The 22,673-nt window shown below is 42.5% G+C and overlaps 1 protein-coding gene across 39 annotated transcripts in view, besides 3 other annotated features; it reads left to right on the plus strand.

Annotated features, from left to right (window-relative positions):
• The window catches only part of PABIR3 (PABIR family member 3), a 68,408-nt gene that overhangs the window by 1,064 nt on the left and 44,671 nt on the right, over nucleotides 1–22,673 (plus strand). For 19 of the 39 annotated variants that reach the window (NR_170982.1, NM_001388446.1, NM_001365744.3 and 16 more), the window contains 3 exons: nucleotides 6,674–6,819; nucleotides 10,113–10,281; nucleotides 17,344–17,422. Coding sequence is in view for 36 of the 39 variants with exons in the window: in NM_001388446.1 (NP_001375375.1) it covers nucleotides 6,771–6,819; nucleotides 10,113–10,281; nucleotides 17,344–17,422 (297 nt within the window). In the remaining 3 variants the exon portion in view is untranslated. Of the gene's footprint in view, nucleotides 1–6,673; nucleotides 6,820–9,809; nucleotides 10,282–11,759; nucleotides 13,757–17,343; nucleotides 17,423–22,673 lie in introns of those variants that run through there. The other 20 variants (NR_158606.2, NM_001388449.1, NM_001388447.1 and 17 more) reach the window with 6 other exon arrangements.
• Nucleotides 10,167–10,326: an enhancer, noted in NCBI's record as "active region_29977". NCBI's record gives its function as "activates an Ori minimal core promoter by ATAC-STARR-seq in GM12878 lymphoblastoid cells {active_cell/tissue: GM12878}" and the evidence as "EXISTENCE:reporter gene assay evidence [ECO:0000049][PMID:35858748]".
• Nucleotides 10,712–11,668: an enhancer, noted in NCBI's record as "H3K27ac-H3K4me1 hESC enhancer chrX:133942169-133943125 (GRCh37/hg19 assembly coordinates)". NCBI's record gives its function as "activates a minimal SCP1, AML or CMV promoter by ChIP-STARR-seq in primed H9 embryonic stem cells {active_cell/tissue: H9 hESC(primed)}" and the evidence as "EXISTENCE:reporter gene assay evidence [ECO:0000049][PMID:30033119]".
• Nucleotides 13,204–13,273: a silencer, noted in NCBI's record as "silent region_21015". NCBI's record gives its function as "represses an Ori minimal core promoter by ATAC-STARR-seq in GM12878 lymphoblastoid cells {active_cell/tissue: GM12878}" and the evidence as "EXISTENCE:reporter gene assay evidence [ECO:0000049][PMID:35858748]".

The raw sequence follows: 22,673 nt of genomic DNA on the forward strand, positions 1-22,673 counted from the left end.
GGGAAATAGAGAAAAACATGGGGTTTCCATGTTATTTCACTCCTAATTTGTACGCTCCGACCTCTGTGATCCCCACTCATGCCTTAAATCCCTCGATTTTGTTGGTCTTTGTCTGCAGGGGCTGATTTCTTTTTCAGATCATCCATTCGGATGCACTAGACAAAAGAGAAGTGGGAAAACAAACGCAATGGGTAAAAATAAAGCGAATATCATGACAGTTCGTATAGCTAATGAGAAACTCAGCTCCCTTTTGCAAGCACCTTTAGATTCAACAAAACTAGGAAAAGTCCTGAAGAACGGGTAGCAAGCAGAACCAAATGTTTTTTCTTACTAGGAATTACAGAGTCCCTAACAATCATGCCTCAGCGTGGGTGAGATCTGGATTTTTTTTTTTTTTTTTTTTTTAAACAGAGTCTCGCTCTTTCGCCCAGGCTGGAGGGCAGTGCACGATCTTGTCTCACTGCAACCTCTGCCCCACCCCGCCTGGGTTCAAGCGATTCTCTTGCCTCAGCCTCCCAAGTAGCTGGGATTACAGGCGCCTGCCACCACGCCTGGTTAATTTTTTGTATTTTTAGTAGAGACGGGGTTTCGCCATGTTGGCTAGGCTGGTCTCGAACTCCTGACCTCAGGTGATCCACCCGCCTCGGCCTCCCAAAGTGCTGGGATTACAGGCACGAGCCACCGCGCCCGGTCAAGATTTGGATTTTTTATTTAACAAACACCTACATAACACTTGTTATGTGCTAGGCACTATTCTAAGAGTTATAGAAATATTAACTCTGTCGTGGGTGTGACTGGCCAGTGGTGCAGGTGCTAAAGAAATTTACGGAGACAGTCACAGGTAACGAAAGGCAGATTTATTAGAGAATATATGAAAATATGTTGCAAGGATGCAATGGGCAGCACTGCAGAGGAGCTGTCTGCAAAGAGGCAGGGGCTGGAGGGAAGTTTTATAGGGTCATGCTGGAGGCGGGTAGGTGCAGAAAGAGGTCATGCTGCTGGGGCCACTGTGTGGAAGGTGTGCCCTCTGGTTGTTTGTGTTCATTGTTCTTCCCCACCTGGGGCCCACCTGGCCCCTTTCTCATTGTTGCTTATTCTCAGGACTCCACATCCCACCACCGTAACACCCCTCAGAACACCAATGACAAATCTTTGACACTGGGGCTGAGGTCTCATCTTCCAACTGCTTCCTGCTGATTAGGGGTGTGGAGTTGACCCCACCTATGGTTGTTGGTCTGTCAAGAGACCCTGTGGGTCATTGTCCCAGATTGTGGGACTTAGGATATTGAATCTTGCTGGAGGAAGGGACTCATCACAGAGTGGGAGTATGTCAAGGCAAAACTGGTGACCAGCCGAATCCAGGGGAGACTCATAAAGGTAGCAGGCATCACTGGGGAGAGACTGATATCCCATTTACGCATTACTTGAAAGTGAAACTGCTGAATTCTAGAAGATAAAAGTTTGTTTCTTAAGCCAGTTACTGAAAAGGCAAACAAACAAACAAACAAACCCCACAACCATTTGCAGTGTGACTGTTTTTCCTTATTGGAAGCCCATTTAGTTAGCCTGGAAGTTAAACTCAATGAAAAAGTGTTTAAATGTAATTAGACACAAGAAGAGTGTATTCAGGGTTATGAGTATAGCAGGTGAATACATAACTCTTAGGAAAAGCGTGAAAAGTTTTTTTTTTTACATTGAGAATTTAGACATATTTTTTAAAAGCCAAGCGTACAGAATTAAGTTATATTAGAGGAAAACATTGCTTAATTTTTTTGATTTTCAAGATGAAATATTTTAGCATTAGGCCATAATAACAGAATTGGAGGAAAAAGTTACAGGAGCTGACAAAAAATGAAGGAGAGAGTTATTATCTTTGGCATTCTCCGGGAAGAAAAAGCTGAAAGCAGCAGGGCACAGCAAAAGTTGAACTGAGATATTATTCTGTGAAGCTTTAACTTCTTACAGTTTTATTAAGACCAGATTAATATCTTAAGAAAATCTTGTTTTTAACATAGGGGACCAATGTTAGACTATCCTAAATAATTCCCTTTCAGTTATAACCAACTTAAACACATAGAAAATTCCTTTCATAACTTCTCCTTTGCGAACCTTCTCACTACTTGCACAGACCATTTATGACATGGACTTTCTGACTTGGACATCAGGGCTTTCTGACTTGTCCTAAACACCCCTTTCTTAAACAACAGGTCATTTTACTTTAGGACAAAAATTTGTCATACAAGATCCTTTCTTGGCTGGGCGTGGTGGCTCATGCCTGTAATCCCAGCAATTTGGGAGGCCGAGGCAGGCGGATGACTTGAGGTCAGGAGTTCAAGACCAGCCTGGCCAACATAACATGGTGAAACCCTGTCTCTACTAAAAATACAAAAATTAGCTGGGTGTGGTGGTTGGCACCTGTAATCCCAGCTACTCCGGAGGCTGAGGCAGGAGAATCACTTGAACCTGGGAGGCGGAGGTTGCAGTGAGCTGAGATCACACCACTGCACTCCAGCCTAGGCAGACTTGGTGTCAAAAAAAAAAATCCTTTCTCATATAAAATTTTTATTTAAAACCTTCCTTACCGGCCGGATGCAGTGGCTCACACCTGTAATTCCAGCACTTTGGGAGGCCGAGGTGGGTGGATCGGTGGATCACGAGGTCAGGAGTTCGAGACCAGCCTGGCCAACATGGTGAAACCCTGTCTATACTAAAAACACAAAAGAATTAGCTGGGCATGGTGGCAGGTGCTTGTAGTCCCAGCTACTCGGGGGGCTGAGGCAGGAGAATCGCTTGAACCCGGGAGGTGGAGGTTGCAGTGAGTTGAGATCACACCACGGCACTCCAGCCTGGGCAACAGAGCAAGACTCCATCTCAAAAAAAAAAAAAATAGCCGGGCATGGTGGCATGCGCCTGTAAATCCCAGCTACTCTGGTGGCTGAGGTGGGAGAATTGCTTGAACCTGGGAGGCAGAGATTGCAGTGAGAGATCACGCCACTGCACTCAGCCCGGGCAACAGAACCAATATTTCTGGCTTTGGAACCTTCTACTAAAGGTAACCTCCTATGTGAAATTAAGAAGCCTTGGCCAGGCGTGGTGGCTCACGCCTGTAATCCCAGCACTTTGGGAGGCCGAGGTGGGCGGATCACAAGGTCAAGAGATCGAGACCATCCTGACCAACATGGTGAAACCCCGTCTCTACTAAAAATACAAAACTTAGCAGGGCGTGGTGGTGCTCGTCTGTAGTCCCAGCTACTCAGGAGGCTGAGGCAGGAGAATCGCTTGAACCTGGGAGGTGGAGGTTGTAGTGAGCCAAGATCACACCACTGTACTCCAGCCTTGCGACAGAGCGAGACTCTGCCTCAAAAAAATAAAAAGGAAGCCTTAACTGAGGGGATGATTTAAACATGGACACATGAGGTGTCTCCAAAGAGATGGCAAGCAATTTATAAGATCTAGAACTGCCCGAAAGGTAACTCAGAGAAAAGAAAATTTCAAGACAGGAAATAAGAAGCTGTCCATGGAGGGAAAAATAATCAATACATGGCAAAAGTACCACAAGTATTAAACCACAAAGGACTGACTTTCAAAGCCAGGAATTGAACCCAGGCGCCATTGTGATAGGGCAAAGCCTTAGCAACTGACCTACAGCACAAGGTGACTACTGTTGTTTTACCATGAGTTTAGAGCATTTTCAAGTTTGCAAAAGGTTTTAACTGCTCAAGAGAATTTTCTAAGACTAGCCATGTTACTATTATGCATCCTTCTTTTAATTTAACCATTTTCTTTTCATGGTGCACTCAATTCCAATAGTGACTCAATCTAAATAAAAGTCCAGATAGTAATTTTCCAGGTTTTTACCACATAAGCAAAAGGTATTTCCAGAAAGGGGTAGAGGGGGCATCTCCATGATAGGCAGCATTTTAACTCAAAAGGGAAGTTTATAATACTTGCCACCTCCAGAGTTGCCCTTGGTTTTGTTTTGTTGATGACTCATGTTTGATCTGGAAGCTAGCCAAAGCAGAAAGCCCCCATTCAGCTTAAGGCCTGATGATCATCAGGGGTTGGGATTATGTCCCAGGGACCCTTTGGCCCTCCAGGGCAGTCCCATTTCCAGTGGCCGAGCTTGTGGCAGAGGGGGCAAGCCATGCGGGGGTTTTTCGTCATTCATGCCATAGGGCCAGTTTGCCTTCCAGTGGCCTGGGCTTCTGCACTGATGGCAGTTATCTGGAGGAGTATCCTTAGGGCAGCCTGGAATGGAGGCTGGGGGCTTGCAAAGCAGCCAACAGTTGAGCCTGCTTCTTGTCCCTGCATTTTTCTTTCTCCTTAGCCCTGTCCTTATCCTGCTCTTGGTTATAAAAGACTGAGGAGACTGATTTGAGGTTTTCTGCATAGGGGCCATGCTGTATTACAAAAGAAAATTCGACTTTTTTTTTTTTTTTAATCTGAGGGTTACATTTGTCTCAGCGTTTTGGGATGCAACTCATAGGTGAGTCTGACGGAATAGAGGAGGTTTGTCCCATGGTGGGACTGGAAAACGATGAGCTGCCGGGGACTAACGTCTGCTGCAGACACGAACCACACTCTCTCGCCGCCCCCACCCCCCTGCCCCACCAGGAAGAGGGCTCAACTCACATCTGCTGAGGGATTCCAGTGCACTTTCTTTTCTTTTCTTTTGAGATGGAATCTCGCTTTGTCGCCCAGGCTGGAGTGCAGTGGTGGGATCTCGGCTCACTGCAACCTCCGCCTCCCAGGTTCAAGCGATTCTCCTGTGTCAGCCTCCCAGGTAGCTGGGATTACAGGCATGCACCACTACGTCCAGCTAATTTTTTGTATTTTTAGTAGAGATGGGGTTTCGCCATGTTGGCCAGGCTGGTCTTGAACTCCTGACCTCAGGTGATCCACCCACCTCGGCCTCCCAAAGTGCTGGGATTACAGGCATGAGCCACCGTGCCCGGCCTCAAGTGCACTCTCTAAAGGGGCATCCCACCTATTAGAAAGGACATCTCAGCGCTGGGGCCTTACGCTGGATGGTTAGCCCCGGTACAAGGAAAAAGGGTAAAGGAAGAACTCAGCCTGGTCCCATCCCAGGAGAGAGGACCAGAATGGGGAGACTCACTGCTCTGAGGCTGCTTGCTATCACCTAATTTGGGAACGTCCAGAGCAGGAGGTCTGGCTGTTTTTGCAGGACTATTTAGAGTAAGAAAGAGGGGCTCTGAGCTCCCCAAAACATATGTGCCAATTGCACTACATAGGGATTGCAGACCTTTTCGCCAGAAGAGATAGGAGAGGGCCTTCTTCCCTTCTAGGCAAGGCAGCCAAACCTGTTCACACCCGCTGGCCTTGAGGCCACACCAGGAAATGGCCCTGACCAGTTGCCATCAATTGCCAGAGGGATACTAGAATTTGTCCTCTGGAAGACTGAAAAGTAAAGCAAATTCTGAAGTCTCACAGAATCGTGGGACAGCAGTCTGGTGTCTTTCCACCAGGACCTTCTGGTTCCCTGGGGAGCAGCCCCGGCCAGGGACTTAAAATTATCTCAGGGTTTTGACACTGTCCAACGAGAGGTTGGAATTGGAGGAAAGGGAGAAAGTAGGGGAGAGGCCCATACGAACTACCAAAATGTTGCAGGTGCAGCTGGCCAGTGGCGCAGGTGGTAAAGGAATTGACCAAGACAGTTGTAGGTAAAGAAAGGCAGATTTACTAGAGAAGGTATGGAAGTATGTTGCAAGGAGGCAAAGGGCAGCACTGCAGAGGAGGAGCTGTCTGCAAAGAGGCAGGGGCTGGAGGGAGCTGGAGGGGGCTGCATGTGGAAACAAGTCATGCTGCTGGGGCCACATGTGGAAGGAGGTCTTTGTGCCCTAGGTCTCTCAGAACAATTTTTCATTGTTCTTCCCCACCTGGGGCCCCTTTCTCATTGTTTCTTACTTATCTTATCAGGACTCCACAAACTCTTTTAATCCTCACCACTTGAATGGCCCTGGGGAAGAGAAGGCCATTGCATTGAAATGTAATAGTTCTGAAATTGCTTTCAAAATTCAGCCAGAAATAATAATTTTGCCTGCCTCTTTTCAATTATCCCATACTAAACTTGCCAAGGCCAATTATCATTTTATTCCTCACTGTTTATGCTTTCTGCCTGCAGTATGAGGGATTTGTAAGTACTTTTAGATAGTTTCCTTTAAATTGCCTGTATTTTTCTCCCAGCTAGATTAGAAACAACAACCTCTGTTTTTGAGCAACTTAGGTATCTCTTTTTATCTCAAGGTCTCAGCAACCCTTAAGGCCAGCCCCACCTCCTACTCCCTGCTCAAAAGAAATTATAATACATTCTTTTGTTCACAATAGCTACTAAACAATCATTTGTTGACCACATGCATGCACTGACCTCAGGAGCTTAACAATTTAGGAGAACGCGAGGAGAATAATGCTACTTTGGCCATCATTTCTAGGTTTTATTAACATCATTCTTGCCTGCTAGTTTTTTTTTTTTTTTTAACCTTTCATGTAAATCTTTTGGGAAGGTTTGGGGTGTTTGTGGTTTGTAGATTTGGGTTTGACTTGTATTTGACTTGCTCTTGTGGTAACTAAAGGTTACAACGTAGCTTCAAGGTTGTCATGACAACTGGTAAAATAAAGAGCTGATTATCACATGTTTGTTGGTTCCCTTTTATAGGTGAGGGCCTGGGACAGACGCAGCAGACTGGGATATGCAAAGAGAGGAGTAGCCTAATTGTCAAGTCTAGATCTAACAAAAGCAGTGTCCCAAGATCATGGCATATTTCCCTGGAACTGGAAGGACTGATCAAGAAACACAGCTAGGTTGGTATAATAATGTGTGCGTAGAAATGGGGAGAAGTAAAAACAATTTCTTTAATGTTGTGTTTGCCATTGTAGCATATAGAATTCTTGCTGTTTTTGTATTACTTGTTCCTTTTGATATTCCAATTTGTGTATGTACTATGAGTCCTATTTATATCTTTACAGGTTTGGGGTTCCTGACATGTAGCTGTTCTTTTGTAAAAGAGAGCTCCTTCTCTTTGATAATAGCTGTAAACTTATTACCATCTCATATATTTAGTTATTTCATATTACTCCTTTTCTTAGAAACATAGTCCCTTAGTCACTCTTCCCTTGTCATTTTATTATACCTATTTTCTTAGTGTTGTTGTACTTATTTAAAAATTAGATACTTGTAATGCTTAGGCAGGATGAAATTTTGTCTATTTATTCAAAATATACGTATGAAACCTTACTACCTGCCAAGAATACTAGCAAAAGTTGAAAATTAAAATGAACACAATGGAGGTAAGATTCCCTTGTTCACTGGCCTGCTTCATATTTTTCTGTTATTCAGACAATTTGTTTTTTGACTCTGTTCTGTCTTTAATCACTGCCTTCTGCATTCATCCTGAATTTACTCAGCTTTAACCACCATCTTTTATAAACGTTCAGGTACCCTGGGAATTTTAACAGTGGCTTTTAGGACATCTTGATACTAGCCTGAATTCTCCTGCTATCTAATTATGTGCCATTAATCTCTTTGGAATTTTATCCAACTGTAAAATAGAAATGATTTACCTACTTTACAAGATAACTATGAAAGATAGGCTATTTAAACCTGCATTTATTCATAAAATAATTTCAGAAGTATTTATCAAGTGCTTATGAGTACAGAAATTCAAGGAGATATTCTGAGGCATCTCATTTTTTTTTTTACTTAAACAGAAGGGCAGAGGAATCTTGGCTTTGCCACTTAGTAGTTGCAACTTGAGTAAACCCCTCTGGGCTTTGGTTTCCTCCTGTGAAAAATGGGCATTGTGATGGTGCCTACCTCAAAGAATTATTGTAAACTTTAAATGCAATCACCTATTTAAAGTGATTAGGACAGTACCTGGCACATAGTAAGTGCCCAACAAACGGTAGCTATTACTAATCTGTCTTATATAAGGAATGGAGACTCCACATCATCCTCATGTCTGGGATTTAAGTAATCTAATTCTGCCTAATATACTCAAGTTTGTCTTATTCTATTCCCAGAATGAACAAAGAATACATATTTATTACCTTACATGTCATAACTTGTCACGAACTATCTCAAGACTGTCCCATTATTTTAAGTTCACCACTGGGTAGCTGAGCAGGGTTGATGATTGAACCAATCCAGATAAGTATGTGAAAACATTTTGTAGGCCAGGCGTGGAGGCTCATACCTGTAATCCCAGCACTTTGGGAGGCCGAGGCGGGTGGATCACCTGAGGTCGGGAGTTCGAGACCAGCCTGACCAACATGGAGAAACCCCATCTCTACTAAAAATACAAAATTAGCTGGGAGTGGTGGCACATGCCTGTAATCCCAGCTACTCTGGAGGCTGAGTCAGGAGAATCGCTTGAACCAGGGAGGTGGAGGTTGTGGTGAGCCAAGATTGCGCCATTGCACTCCAGCCTGGGCAACAAGAGCGAAACTCCGTCTCAAAAAAAAAAAAATGTTATCCGTAAAGTGCTATACCAGTGTTATGACTATTTTAATTAATAACTCCCATTTCACTAGGTTTATTTGCCTTGTCTGCCAGTTCTCTATATGGTTACTAAAATGTGTGGTTTTACAAAATTATTAGCATGGAGTTAAGATTTCAGTACTCAGTGTGGCTCATTAAGTGATGGTGAAAATTTCTAAAAGAGTAGTTCTTAAAACGATATGAGCCATGGCAGCATTCTTAGAATGTATGTAGCTTCTAATACTACCTGAAATGAAAACACTGATTTGCATTGATACTAAATTCTGAGATATTTGTTTTTAAAAAAGCCTCACTGCTTTAACTCAAATCTTTGTAAATTAGCTGAGGTCTTTATTTTTTATATGAATAGCTGTGAGGAGCCAGATTATATATAATGTAAAAATACACACTGAGGCAGGCGCGGTGGCTCACGCCTGTAATCCCAGCACTTTGGGAGGACGAGGCGGGCGGATCACCTGAGGTCCAGGAGTTCGAGACCAGCCTGGCCAACATGGTGAAACCCCGTCTCTACTAAAATACAAAAATTAACCAGGCGTGGTGGCGAGCACCTGTAATCCCAGCTACTCGGGAGGCTGAGGCAGGAGAATCGCTTGAACCTGGGAGGTGGAGGTTGCAGTGAGCCGAGATCGCGGCCACTGCACTCCAGCCTGAGCAACAAGAGCGAAATTCCATCTCAAAAAAAAAAAAACAAAAAACTGTACGATTATGGTTTAAAAAAGAAAGAAAGAAACCACACTGAAAACAGTAATTCGTTTGCCAAATGAGCTCAGTTAGGTTAGCACCTTAGCAAGACCCTTTGGGACCAAGTGGCCTCTAAGCACTTAGGTAGCAGTATCTTTTTTTTTTTTTTTTTTTCAGACTTTTGCTTTTCTAAAATTACAAAGGTGTAGTGTGTCTGCTGTTACAGGATGGAAAAATGCATCATAGGAGGTTAGAAGCTTGTTGGCCTCAGTCATAAAGGGATAAGAAAAATGAGAATTAGGCATAGGGCAGGAAGGACCTCACTCCTCCCAACGCTTTCATTTCTAAATAATGCTTAAGGAAACCATGCCAGGGTTAGTAAAAGAGTAGAGGCACAACCACGGTAAGTGGGCATTGGGGAAAGAGGAAGGAGGGCAGGACATGGGGATAAAGCGGTTTCTTAACTGCGCGTGCGCCCCTGGCAAAGCTGACTAAGGCGCCTGAAGTGACGTCATTGCCTGCATCACAACAGGCGTCGTCCGGCTGATAGCTTATCGCAGGCTCTGAGGGGCGGGACCCAACTGATTGTCAAAGGCGGCAGATTGTAGTTTTTGTTTTGGCCGGAAAGGCTTACCATGAGTTGCCAGGGCTGAGAGAGATGGAGAAGGATTCGCGGCGGTGACAGATTAAATTCCCCAGTTACATTATAGACTTGGAGGTGGGGGATCTTCTCATCGTTAGAGGCCCCGATCATGGGAGATAGGCGGTTCGGAGCCAGTTCTGCCTAACTTTGTGTTCACTGATGTTAGGGCTGCTAGGGCTGCAAAGGTGGGCACCCCTACTCGCCTAAGAGCTTTCTCCTCTCTTCTCTTTTTCCCCTTTGCCTCTCTCCTTACATCACCTGCCCACTAAGTAGACTTGTCCTTGTGTGGACGGGAGCCGGAAAGCCTTGAGAACTTATTCCTCGACCCGGACATGGCACAGGAGAAAATGAAACTAGGTTTCAAGTCGCTGCCGAGTTCCACTACCGCAGACGGCAACATTCTGAGAAGAGTCAACAGTGCCCCTTTGATCAATGGACTTGGGTGAGCCGGGTTGAGATACTGGAGGAGGCAAGCGGTGGGGAGGAGGTGTTCGGGAAAGTGATTTCCTATAGAATTCCCGTCCCTTTATTTGTTGAGGTTCTGCAGGTAACTCCCTTGTTCCTGGTGTCCGGAGATCCCACCCTCAACCTTGGGTGGGGGTAGTGGGACGGGCTGACCTGAGGGGGAGCGCGCACCCACCCTGAGGTTGACAAACATCTGAATCTGAACATCCTCCCCTGATAGTCCACTCGGACCCGAAAGTAGCAGCCAGTTGGTGTGGAGCACGGCTTTTTTCTAACTTCAACCCATTTCTTACCCACTCCTTTGAAGAAACTTAGTATCCTCCCCCACTCACCTCCAGATCTTCTGCCATGACTGTAATATTTGTCATTTCAGCTGCTTTGTCACCTCTGACCTTCACCTCCAGCCGCTTGAATGGAAATGGTTGTCAAGCAAATAAGCTTTGGACTTTTTTACATTTTTTTTTTTGTCTTTTTTTGAGACGGAGTCTTGCTCTGTCGCCCAGGCTGGAGTGCATTGGCACGATCTCAGCTTACTGTAACCTCCGCCTCCTGGCTTCAAGCAATTCTCATGCCTCAGCCTCCCTAGTAGCTAGGATTACAGGCGCCCACCACCACACCTGGTAATTTTTTGTATTTTTATTTTTTATTTATTTGTTTATTTATTTTTGAGACGGAGTCTCACTCTGTCGCCCAGGCTGGAGTGCAGTGGCGTGATCTCGGCTCACTGCAAGCTCCACCTCCCGGGTTCACGCCATTCTCCTGACTCAGCCTCCCAAGTAGCTGGGACTACAGGCGCCCACCAACACTCCCGGCTAATTTTTTGTATTTTTAGTAGAGACAGGGTTTCACCGTGTTAGTCAGGATGGTCTTGATCTCCTGACCTCGTGATCCGCCCGCCTCGGCCTCCCAAAGTGCTGGGATTACAGGCGTAAGCCACCGTGCCCGGCCTAATTTTTTGTATTTTTAGTAGAGACAGGGTTTCACCATGTTGGCCAGGCTGGTCTCGAACTCCTGGCCTCAGGGGATCCGCCTGCCTCAGCCTCCCAAAGTGCTGGTATTACAGACGTGAGCCACTGCTCCTGGCCTACACCTATTTTTTATTGGAGCAGAAAGTTTTGGTACCACAGAAGCTTGATCTCCTAAATTACACATTCTCACTGGGTGATACTTCCCCCAAGGGGAAGAGAAAATAGTTCTTGGGGGAGTGTGAAAAATTTTTACTCTTTTTATGTATAAAGCGCAGATATACATACAGTATGTACACAGATATATACTATATATGTGTTATTAAAATTTCACGAAGGGGGAGCAATTAGGGGAAAAATGTCTAAAAAGGCTTTTTAGAGGGTCAATAATGAAAAAAGGATTTAGAAACACTACACTAAATGATGGTTAACTGTATTTCTGAAGATCTGGGATTACTAAATCTTGTTTCCTTTTTTTTTTTTTTTTAAGACGGAGTCTCACTGTGTCGCCCAGGCTGGAGTGCAGTGGCATGATCTCGGCTCACTGCAACCTCTGCCTCCCGGGTTCAAGCGATTCTCCTGCCTCAGACTCCCGAGTAGCTGGGACTTCAGGCACCCGCCACCACGCCCACCTAATTTTTTGTATTTTTAGTAGAGACGGGGTTTCACCGTGTTAGCCAGGATGGTCTTGATCTCCTGACCTTGTGATCCGCCCACCTTGGCCTCCCAAAGTGTTGGGATTACAGGCGTGAGCCACTGCGCCTGGCCTAAATCTTACTTCTTAAACTAGACTTTTAAAATGAGATGTTGGATTTCACATTTCAGTATTATAAGGTTTTCTAGATACCGTAAAAATGTCTGAAAAATGCATTCACTACATATGTTACTAACTTTGCTCTTCACCTTTTGTTGCATCATACTAATTGATAGTTGTAATTCACAGTACCATAGACTATCAGGAAGGGATTCAGAGACCAGCTTTACCCTCCTTGTTTAACATATGAGGAAACTGAGGCCCATAAATCTCCAAAATGACGTTTAGTGGCAGAGCCAGTACTAGGAAGCTCTGTTTCCTGACTCCTAAACTACTGTTCTGGCCACTACTAACCAATACCTAAGCTGATTAACTCTAAATGAATGCAGCTTTTGGGTCATTTGAGGTAGGAGAGAATATATTGTTCACAAAATGAAAAGCAAACTAAGATTGACCAAAAAAAAATACATTACCTTTTTAAAATAGGCAGGTAGAAAAACATAGAAGGGGGACTCTGCATGTTGTGCTGAGAACAAGAACATTTTATTCACTCAGGATTTTGCTCTAATTCTGTTGTGGGAAAAAGGAATTATGGGACCCACTCTACTAGTAGAAGAGAGCAGTAGGGAGAATGTTGGATTTATTGAAGACAATATAAAAAGAAGAAATAGGTTGCAAATAGACGATGGAAGATGTGTACTGGAAGGAACCTGTGGATCCTCTTTAATGTATTAAATACACCAGAGAAGGAGTGGACCCTTCCCTAATCCTTAAAGCCCTGGAAACAGAGAGATCTCAGTTATCCCTTCATACCTTGCTTTGTTCTGCAAAGGATTTTTTTGTTTTGTTTGTTTGTTTTTTGCTTATATTAGAGCATAGCTACAGTGTTACATTCCATAGCTTAAGATCCTGATGCATGAAGTAAAATTTGTACAGAAAGATAAGGGTCACTAGCATATTTCTGTAGTAGGAGTTTAAAGATACAGAAACCACAAAGTGGACGGAGTCCAGGGACTCTAGTCTGTCAGAAAGAAGTAACATAGGAATGATGTGTGACATCCCTGAGATTAGGGGACTTGCCCAGATGATCTGAGGGCATATTTTGTGCTGTTGTAGAAAATGTAGGGCATAGTCAGAGAAGTTATTCTGAAGCAAGAAAAATTTAGAGTAGGATTACACTGAGCCTTAGTTGAATTCATTTTCACCTCAGTTCTCATTTGCATATGTATACTGCTCACTTTTCTCCCTTTTTTTTTCCTTCCTTGGCCCTCTAATACTTGAGTACTTCCTCTTTCTAAACTATACCTGGCCAGTAAAGCATTCTTTTCAGAAAGGTGAAAGTCACTAGCATATTTCTTTAGTAGGAATTAAAGATATAGAAACCACAAAGTGGACAGAGTTCAGAGACTCCAGTCCCTCAGAAAGAAGTAACATAGGAATGATGTGTGACATGCCTGAGGTCAGGGAACTTGCCCAAATGATCTGAGGGGATGTTTTGTGCTGTTGTAGAAAATATTTAGCTTGCTAAACATTGTTGCACCTCTTTCAAGTAATTTTCGAACTTTGCTTGATGTTTCTTCTATATAAAGACCCTCTTGCACCAGCATTTGCAGAATTAAATTCCTTAGGTTTGTTTCTTTCATATCAACTCTTTAATACAGTATTACTGTTTTAAAGAAGTATCTGCACTGTTTTATGTATATCTTGAACTAATAAAAATTCCAACGTCAAAAGTTTTGAACCTCTTGGTTCTTTATACTCTTTATCTCTGTAATTGGCTGACTTTATTACTGGTGTCAATAACTATACTTAAAGCTAGGAGTTTTTTCTTCTCTTTCTCTGACCCTTATTCAAAGACTCAGAGATTAGGTTCTTGTATTCCTGCCAGTGCCTCCCTACCTTAAAAACCTCTACCTTGACCCTGCATTTAAACTGTTACTGCCTCAATTCTTTTTTTTTTTTTTCCTGAGATGGAGTCTTGAGGCTGGAGTGCAGTGGTTCAATCTCGGCTCACTGCAACCTCTGCCTCCTGGGCTCAAGCGATTCTCCTGCCTCAGCCTCCGAGTAGCTGGGACTACAGGCATGCACCACCACGCCAGGCTAATTTTTGTATTTTTAGTAGAGACGGGTTTCACTATGTTGGCCAGGCTAATTTTTGTATTTTTAGTAGAGATGGGTTTCACTATGTTGGCCAGGCTAGTCTTGAACCCTTGACCTTGTGATCCACCCACCTTGGCCTCCCAAAGTGCTGGGATTACAGGCGTGAGCCACCACTCCTGACCCTCAATTCTATTTGAAAGGCAAATTACTGCCCCAGAGCCAAATGCAGCCCACCACCTGGATTTGCAAATAAAATTTTATTGGAATGGAACCATCCCCATTTGTTTAGTTGTTATCTATGGCTACTTTCCCACTGCAGTGGCAGAACTGAGGAGTTGCAACAGATACTGTATGGCCCACAAATCCTAAAATATTTACTCTCTGGCCCTTCGCAGAAAAAGTTTGCCCATCTTCTGGTTTATTGAACTTTTACGAACGTGGAAGAATAGCAGCCATGAGAAATGATTGCTTTGGGAATATAAGTGACATAAATCTATTATAGTTTAGACAGAGCTGTTTATTGATCATTTGATGTGGAACATTGAACATCCATCCAGTTATACTACTTCTGCTTTTTCCGAGTTAAAAGTAGCACTTAGTTCAGATATCAGCTAGGGTTTTATAAATTCATGTTGAATGATGCATACCAGTTGAAGTATATATTGCCTGAATTCTTTCTTTCAGTTATAGTCTTACTAAAATTGGCAAACAAATTTAGGGTAGACTATATCATTGTCAGCCCTAAGTATTAAGCCCCCTACACATGTACACAAAAAAGAATGGAAAGAAATAGCCCATTAGTGTCCCTCCAATTTTCTTATGAGTGACTGCCAGAACATATTCCTATTCTCACAAAGAAAATGACTGGGAAAGTAAGTAGAATTAGATACATCCATATACCTTCCATTCACAAAATATTAAGTTACTGCCTGTTATATGCAAATTATGATGTTGCAAAGATGTATCTCAGGGCTCAATAAGCTTTAATAGGGAATATAAATACTAGAAGGACTTAAATATATGGTAGAGTAAGATAAGTGCGTAGGGAGCTTAAGATAAGTGCGTAGGGAGCTAAATAAAGTGCTAGGGGAATTCAAAGAAGGAAGGGAGAAATTACAGCGGGACTGGTGAGGGAGAAGGAAAAGTTTATGAAGAAGTTGGCATTTGAGATGGGCCTTCATGGATTGATAGGATACACCCTGGAAAAGAGGGGGAACAATGGTTGGGATAGTATTTTAAGTATTATATGTAGAACAGACTTGAAGGCAGAAAAGCATAGATGTGTTCCAGAGAACTGAATGGTCCACTTTGCCTGAACCCCTGACTCCCAGATGTTCATCTGCTGATCAGTGCTGATCTCAGGTGAAGTTTTTACCAATCCGTGCTTTTAAAAGAGTTAAGTACAGCATAATTAAAGATGTCATTATGTAGTTGTTAATTATCTTTCCTGGGCAGGACTGTACTGTACTCTGAGATTGTTATTCTCTTATTTTCTTAATACCAAAGGGTCATTTTACAAATGAAATGATGGTATTGGTCAATGGTGGGATTTAAAAAAAAATGACTTGGCAAAAGAAAAAGGTGGCAACTGTATGTTTCTGCCTAGATTTTGTTTTGAAATTGTACTAGTCCTTGAAATTGAAGAGTCTGGAGCCAAACCGTGGATGGCTTTGAATGTCATAGTAAAGAACGTAACTGAATTTGACAGGCACTGAAGAGAGTCACTGAAAGTTGTGAGCAAACTGTTCTTTAGGAAGATGCCCCTGGTAGTCTGTTAGCCTAGAGAAGGGAAAGAAGAGAGGCGAGGAGCCCAATTAGACTATGCAGTCTGTGGAAAAGGAAAAAGACCTTGAATTGGTTTTTGGCAAGGAGCCTGACAAGAATCAGGTGGTTATCAGAGAGCGAGTATAGAGGTAAAATCTAAAATACTGGCAGTTGATTGGATATAGGCAGCTAAAACAAAAGTATTACAGATGATTTCTCACATTGGAGGAACCTGGATGAAGGGTACATGTGAACCATCTGTATTCTTTTTGCAACTTCTTGTGAGTCTTAAACCGTTTCAAAATAAAAAGTTATAATAAAAAGGAAAAGATGCCGGGCACCGCTGGGATCTGTAGTCCTAGCTACTTGAGAGGCTGAGGCAGGAGCATCGTTGAGCCTAGGAGTTTGAGGGCAGCCTAGGCAATATACAGCGGGACGACATCTCTGAAAAAACAATGAAATGATGATTTCTTCAGGATTACAAGGTCAAATAGGACCAAGTTCACTTGAGTGGGCAACCATCAAAGCTGAGGACACTGACCTGTCTTCAGTGGGCATCAGCTGCACAACTTCAGTCCATTGTTATCATGGGAATGTGGCCCAGTGTTGCAAAATCTTGCAACTTTTCAATAGAAGCCAGAACGTTGGAATCTGGGTGTTTTTTTTTTTTTTAATGTGAAATCTTTCAGTGTGCAAAACAAATTCAAAAACATTTTTAACACTGTAGGCCAAACCAAACACATCTGTGAAAAATCTGAGTTCCATCAACCCCTGCTATTGGTTATTCCTCGTATTCATGTGAAACTTTGGGAGTTGAGAGGGAATTGGTATTTGCACGTTGTATCTCTGACCATAAATTTAAATCATTTACAGGTTTACACTGAAAATGATGTATTTCCAAGTTCACAATAAATTATATTCATTCTCCGTAGCATGATTAGGAGTAAAGTAGTGTGCTTGAGAATTCCTTACCTTATATGGAGACTTGTTTAGGCCCAGCCAACCAAGGCTGTATGTGTGTGTGTGTTTTAATTTCTACCTTTGCACAGCTTGCCTTTACCCTTGCTGTTTAGGTATTTGAAATCTTTAAAAGAATTTTGTGGCCGGGCATGGTGGATCACGCCTGTAATCCCAGCACTTTGGTGGGCCAAGGCGGGTGGATCACCTGAGGTCAGGAGTTCAAGACCAGCCTGGCCAACATGGTGAAACCTCGTCTCTACTAAAAATACAAAAATTAGCTGGGCATGGTGGTGCGTGCCTGTAATCCCAGCTACTAGGGGAGGCTGAGGTAGGAGGATTGCTTGAACCTGGGAGGCAGAGGTTGCAGTGAGCTGAGATCGTGCCACTGCACTCCAGCCTGGGCAACAGAACAGAGCGAGACTCCGTCTCAAAAAAAAAAAAAAAAAGAATTTTGTAATGGATTTTATATAACACATGTTTTTGTTTTTCTTTTTAGTTTTAATTCACAGGTGTTGCAAGCTGACATGTTAAGAATTAGGACAAACAGAACAACATTTAGGAATCGACGCTCTCTGGTAAGGAAATGCTTATAGTGGCCTCCCTGTCTAAGACTTGTGCTTATTGGTCTCAACCAATGGTCTTCAAACTTGAGCATTCACAGGGAGGGCTTATTAAAACACAGATGGCCAGCGGGAGTCTCACCCCCAGGGTTTCTGATTAAGTAGATGGGGGTGGAGCATGAGAATTTGCATTTCTAACAAGTTCCCACTTTGAGAAACACTGCTCTAAACATTACTGAAGGAAAAATAAACACATTGACTACAGTTATGATTGCTGCAGCTGCAACAGAATTAATTTTTAAATCCCATATGGATTTAACATCGAGATTTTATGTATAAGACCATCTGGTTTCCCTTTTTTTTTTTTAAAGAAAATTCTAACTTTGAGAGGAAAATTTGCAGACTCTCCTAAAAGTAATTTTCAGGCTTTTAGACTTTTATCTCACATTTATCTTGAATTGTAAATAAGATTTGCTTTTCATGGTATTATCATGCAATCTCTAAATTATAACTCTTTTCTACTAATTATCCTGTAAACATAGGGAATATACTTGTAGATCAGTAAGCCAAGGTGAATACATGATTCATTATATGATTTTATTGAGGTGAAATTCACATAACATTCAATTAACTGTTTTAAAATATACAATTCAATGGCATTTAGTGTATTCACAATGTTGTTCAACCAGTACCTCTCTCTAGTTTCTAAAGTGCATACATATCCTTGTCTTGTTCCTCATCATTGAATATGATTTTAGCTGTGAGTTTTTGGTAAATGTCCTTTATCATGTTAAGGAAATGTCCTTCTACTCCTACTTGCTGAGTATTTTTCTTTTTCTTTTCTTTTTTTTTTTCTTTTTTTTGAGACAGAGTCTCACTTTGTCACCCAGGCTGGAGTGCAGTGACATGATCTCGGCTCACTGCAACCTCTACCTCCTGGGTTCAAGCTATTCTTCTGGTCAGCCTCCCAAGTAGCTGGGACTACAGGCGTGCACCACCATGCCCAGCTAATTTTTTTGTATTTTTAGTAGAGACAGGATTTCACCATGTTGGCCAGGCTGGTCTCGAACTCTTGACCTCAAGTGATCTGCCCACCTCGGCATCCCAAAGTGCTGGGATTACAGGTGTGAGCCATTGAATCCAGCCTTGCTGAGTATTTTTATCATGAAAGTGTGTTGAATTATTTCAAGTGCTTTTTCTGCATCTCTTGGGATGATCATGTGTTTCCCCACCTTGTTCAATTAATATGGTATATTACATTGATTTTTTTCCATGTTGAATTACCCTTGCATTCCTGGGATAAATCTTTTTGTATCTGTATTCATAAGAGATATTGACCTGTTGTTTTCTTGTGGTATCTTTTGCTAGCTTTGGTATCAGAGTAATGCTGGCGTCATAGAATGTATTAGGAGGTACTCCTTTGTCTTCTACTTTTGTAAGAGCTTGAGTAGGATTTTATGTTGATTCTTGTTTTTTGTTTGTTTGTTTTTGTTTTTGTCTTTTTGAGATGGAGTTTTGCTCTTTTTGCCCAGCTGGAGTGCAGTGGCACGATCTTGGCTCACTGCAATCTCTGCCTCCCGGGTTCAGGCGATTCTCCTGCCTCAGCCTCCTGAGTAGCTGGGATTACAGGCACCCGCCACCACGCCCAGCTAATTTTTTGTACTTTTAGTAGAGACGGGGTTTCATCATGTTGGCCAGGCTAGTCTCAAACTCCTGACCTCAGGTGATCCACCCGCCTTGGCCTCCCAAAGTGCAGGGATTACAGGTGTGAGCCACTGTGCCTGGCCTGGTGTTGATTCTTTAAATGTTTAGTAGAGTTCAGCATTGAAACCATCTGGTCCTGGACATTTCTTTGTTGGGAAGTTTTTGATTACAGACTCTATCTCTTGTTATAGGTTTGTTGAGATTTTCTATTTCTTGAATCAGTTTGGTAATTTATGTGTTATGTGTTATGTATTATAGATTTCTCTTATAATATGATTTGTAATGTGATAGAATCTCTAGAATACATTTTAGTGAAATGTTATAGCTTGATACCAATTTAAAAATATTGCTCGTGGCCAGGCGTGGTGGCTTACACCTGTAATCCCAACACTTTGGGAGGCCAAGGCGGGAGGATCACCTGAGGTCAGGAGTTCAAGACCAGCCTGGCCAACATGGTGAAACCCCATCTCTACCAAAAATACAAAATTAGTTGGATGTGGTGGTGCATGCCTGTAATCCCAGCTACTGGGGAGGCTGAGGCAGGAGAATCGCTTCAACCCGGGAGTTGGAGGTTGTGAGCCAAGATCGCGCCACTGCACTCCAGCCTGGTGACAGAGTGAGACTTTCTCTCAAAACAAACAAACAAACAAACAAAAACAAAAAAAAATATTGCTTGCTAATCTTAAAACTGGACATTTTCTTCTTCATAGAATGATATTCAATATTGTTCCCACAAATGCATTAATTTTATAGTGGGAGAAATTATAACTGTTCATTAAATAAATATTTCTTCTTTCTACTCATTTACTCATCCATTCAACGATATTTGTTGAGCACCTGCTTGCCTCTCAAAGCCTTCCATACCTATCCAGTCTTCTACTCAACGAAGCCAACATAGTGGTTTAGGACCCACTATGTATTAGGCCCTGATCTAGTTGCCAGGGTTGATCTAACTGAGTTTGGGGAGGAGATAACATCTTAGTTGAGATCTTACTGATGTGAGAGGGTTAGCTAGTTTGGGATATTGGTGGCAGGGGTAGACAATATTCCTGGTAGAAAACAGCATGCTTGAAGTCCTGGAAAAGGAAGTGTGGTGTATAGATAAAAGAGTGTGTATAAAATTTGAAAGAAGTGCATTTTAGCTACAGTGAAAGCAAAGATACAGTGGTGAGAGATGTGGTTGAAGAAGTAGACTAGTGCAATATCTTGTAGGGCCTTCAAGTCATGTTAAGTATTTTGCACTTTATCCTAGGGTCAGTGAGAAGCCATTGAAGAGTTTTGAGCCAATGATTGACATGATCAGATTTGTTAAAAGATTGCCCTGGCTGCAGAGTGGAAAGTGGATTGGAAGAGGGCAAACGTATATGCAAGAAGATCAGATAGGCTACTGCAATCACCCTGGCAAAGAGCTGATGGTAGCTTGGACTAGTGTGATGGTAGTGGAAATAGAGAAAAGTTCCAGATTCAGGAGAAATTTCAAAGATGGAATCAATGGACGGTGGGAAACAGTGGAGGCAAACCTGACTCCTAGGTCTCTAGCTTGGGCAGCTGATGGGATGGTAGTGACACAGAATAAGAAGGGACCATTGCAAGAAGAGTAGATTTACAAAGGAGGATGAGTTTAGCTTTGTACATGTTACATTGGAGGTTCTCTTGGACCTGTAAACTAGTGATGTTCGATGTACTAGTTTGAAGCTCAGGAGTGAGAGCTGGACTAGAGATAACCATTTGGGAATCATTGGTAGATTGTTATTTAAAACTGTGGGAATTAATGATATGACCTACAAAGAGAGTATAGAAAGAGCAGAGAAGAAGTTGCAGGACAAAACTTTAAAAATCACCAACACTTAAAAATCAGTCAGAAGAAGAGTGATGGACTAAGTAGAGAGGCAGGAGGAGGCTTCAGAAGAGAGTAGTACCATGAAAAAACAAGGAAAAGTAGTAAGTCATATGCTGTCAAGCCGTCAAACAGACTGAAAAGTGTCCTTTGAATTACCAAAACAGATATTACTCATGAATTCTTATATTTGAAAGCACTTTCAGTAGAAGGAGGAGTGGGGTGAGATTAAGCCAGATTTGATTTTGAAGAATAACTGAGAGCCAAGGACCTATAAATGGCACTGTACATCCAGGCTCAGTTATTTGGGAGGCAAATCCCTCATCTGTAAAATGGGAATGTAAAAGTAACTGCTTTGTAGGTTTGTTGTGGATTACCTTGGTCAGTATGAAGCACTCAGCACAGCACTGGCACATACTAAATGCTCAATAAATATGTGGGTTTTTTTAAATCAGTAATAGTACATATAGTCAGCAACCGGTGCACCTGGCTTTTTAAAAATTATAATTTTAAAATCTTTTTTTCTAGTACCAAATACTTAAAGGATATTTTTTCTTTCTTTTTTTTTTTTTTTTTTTTTTTATTTGAGACAGATCTCTTGCCCAGGCTGGAGTGCAGTGACGTGATCTCGGCTCACTGCAACCTTCGCCTCCTGGGTTCAAGCGATTCTTCTGCCTCAGCCTCCTGAGTAGCTGGGACTACAGGCACGCGCCACCACACCTGGCTAATGTTCGTATTTTTAGTAGAGATGGGGTTTCACCATATTGGCCAGGCTGGTCTCAAACTCCTGACCTCGTGATCCGCCTGCCTCGGCCTCCCAAAGTACTGGGATTACAGGCATAAGCCACTGTGCCCGGCGATTCTTGGCATTTTAAAAATGCATAACATTCCTTAGGAATTCTAGGCTCCTAATTTGCATAACGTTCAGTTTAATATAATGTATATTTAAAATAAACCATCTTATATAACAGATTGTGTTTGGCAGAATTGAAGTCATTTTAACTTATTGGATGATGGGGATTTCAAGGCTTGTTGGTTTAGCTTGCTATAGCAATACTATGCATATGCTTTTATTGTGTCTAAGTATCACTTCATTATTATTATAAGACATAAGTAAGTATATACTTACCTTTAGTATAGAACTGCTGAATTTTCTAGGAGAATGACATGATGAATTAGAATGCTTTTGGCAAAAGCAGTAAAATCCAATTAGAAGAGACTTAAACAGCCTGGGCGAGGTGACTCAGGCCTGTAATCCCAGCACTTTGGGAGGCCAAGGTGGGCGGATCACCTGAGGTCGGGAGTTCAAGACCAACCTGGCCAACATGGTGAAACCATGTCTCTCCTAAAAATACAAAAATTAGCCGGGCATGGTGGCATGCGCCTGTAATCCCAGCTACTCAGGAGGCTGAGACAGGAAAATCGCTTGAACCCGGGAAGTGAAGTTTGCAGTGAGCCGAGATCACGCCACTGCACTCCAACCTGGGTGACAGAGTAAGACTCTGTCTCAAAAACAAAAACAAAAGCAAACAAACAAACAAAAAACAGAGAGACTTAAACAATAAGGAGCAATAAGGAGCATTATTATCTCAAATAATAAGAAGCCCCAAGAAAAGGAGGTTCTAGGCCGGGTTAGTTCAGTGGGCCAATGACATCATCAGAGACCCAGGTTCCTTCTATCTTTCCACCCTACCATCTTCAGCAGCCACAGTTAATTATGTAACT

Source organism: Homo sapiens, chromosome X (assembly GCF_000001405.40).
Source record: "Homo sapiens chromosome X, GRCh38.p14 Primary Assembly".
NCBI lineage: Eukaryota > Metazoa > Chordata > Mammalia > Primates > Hominidae > Homo > Homo sapiens.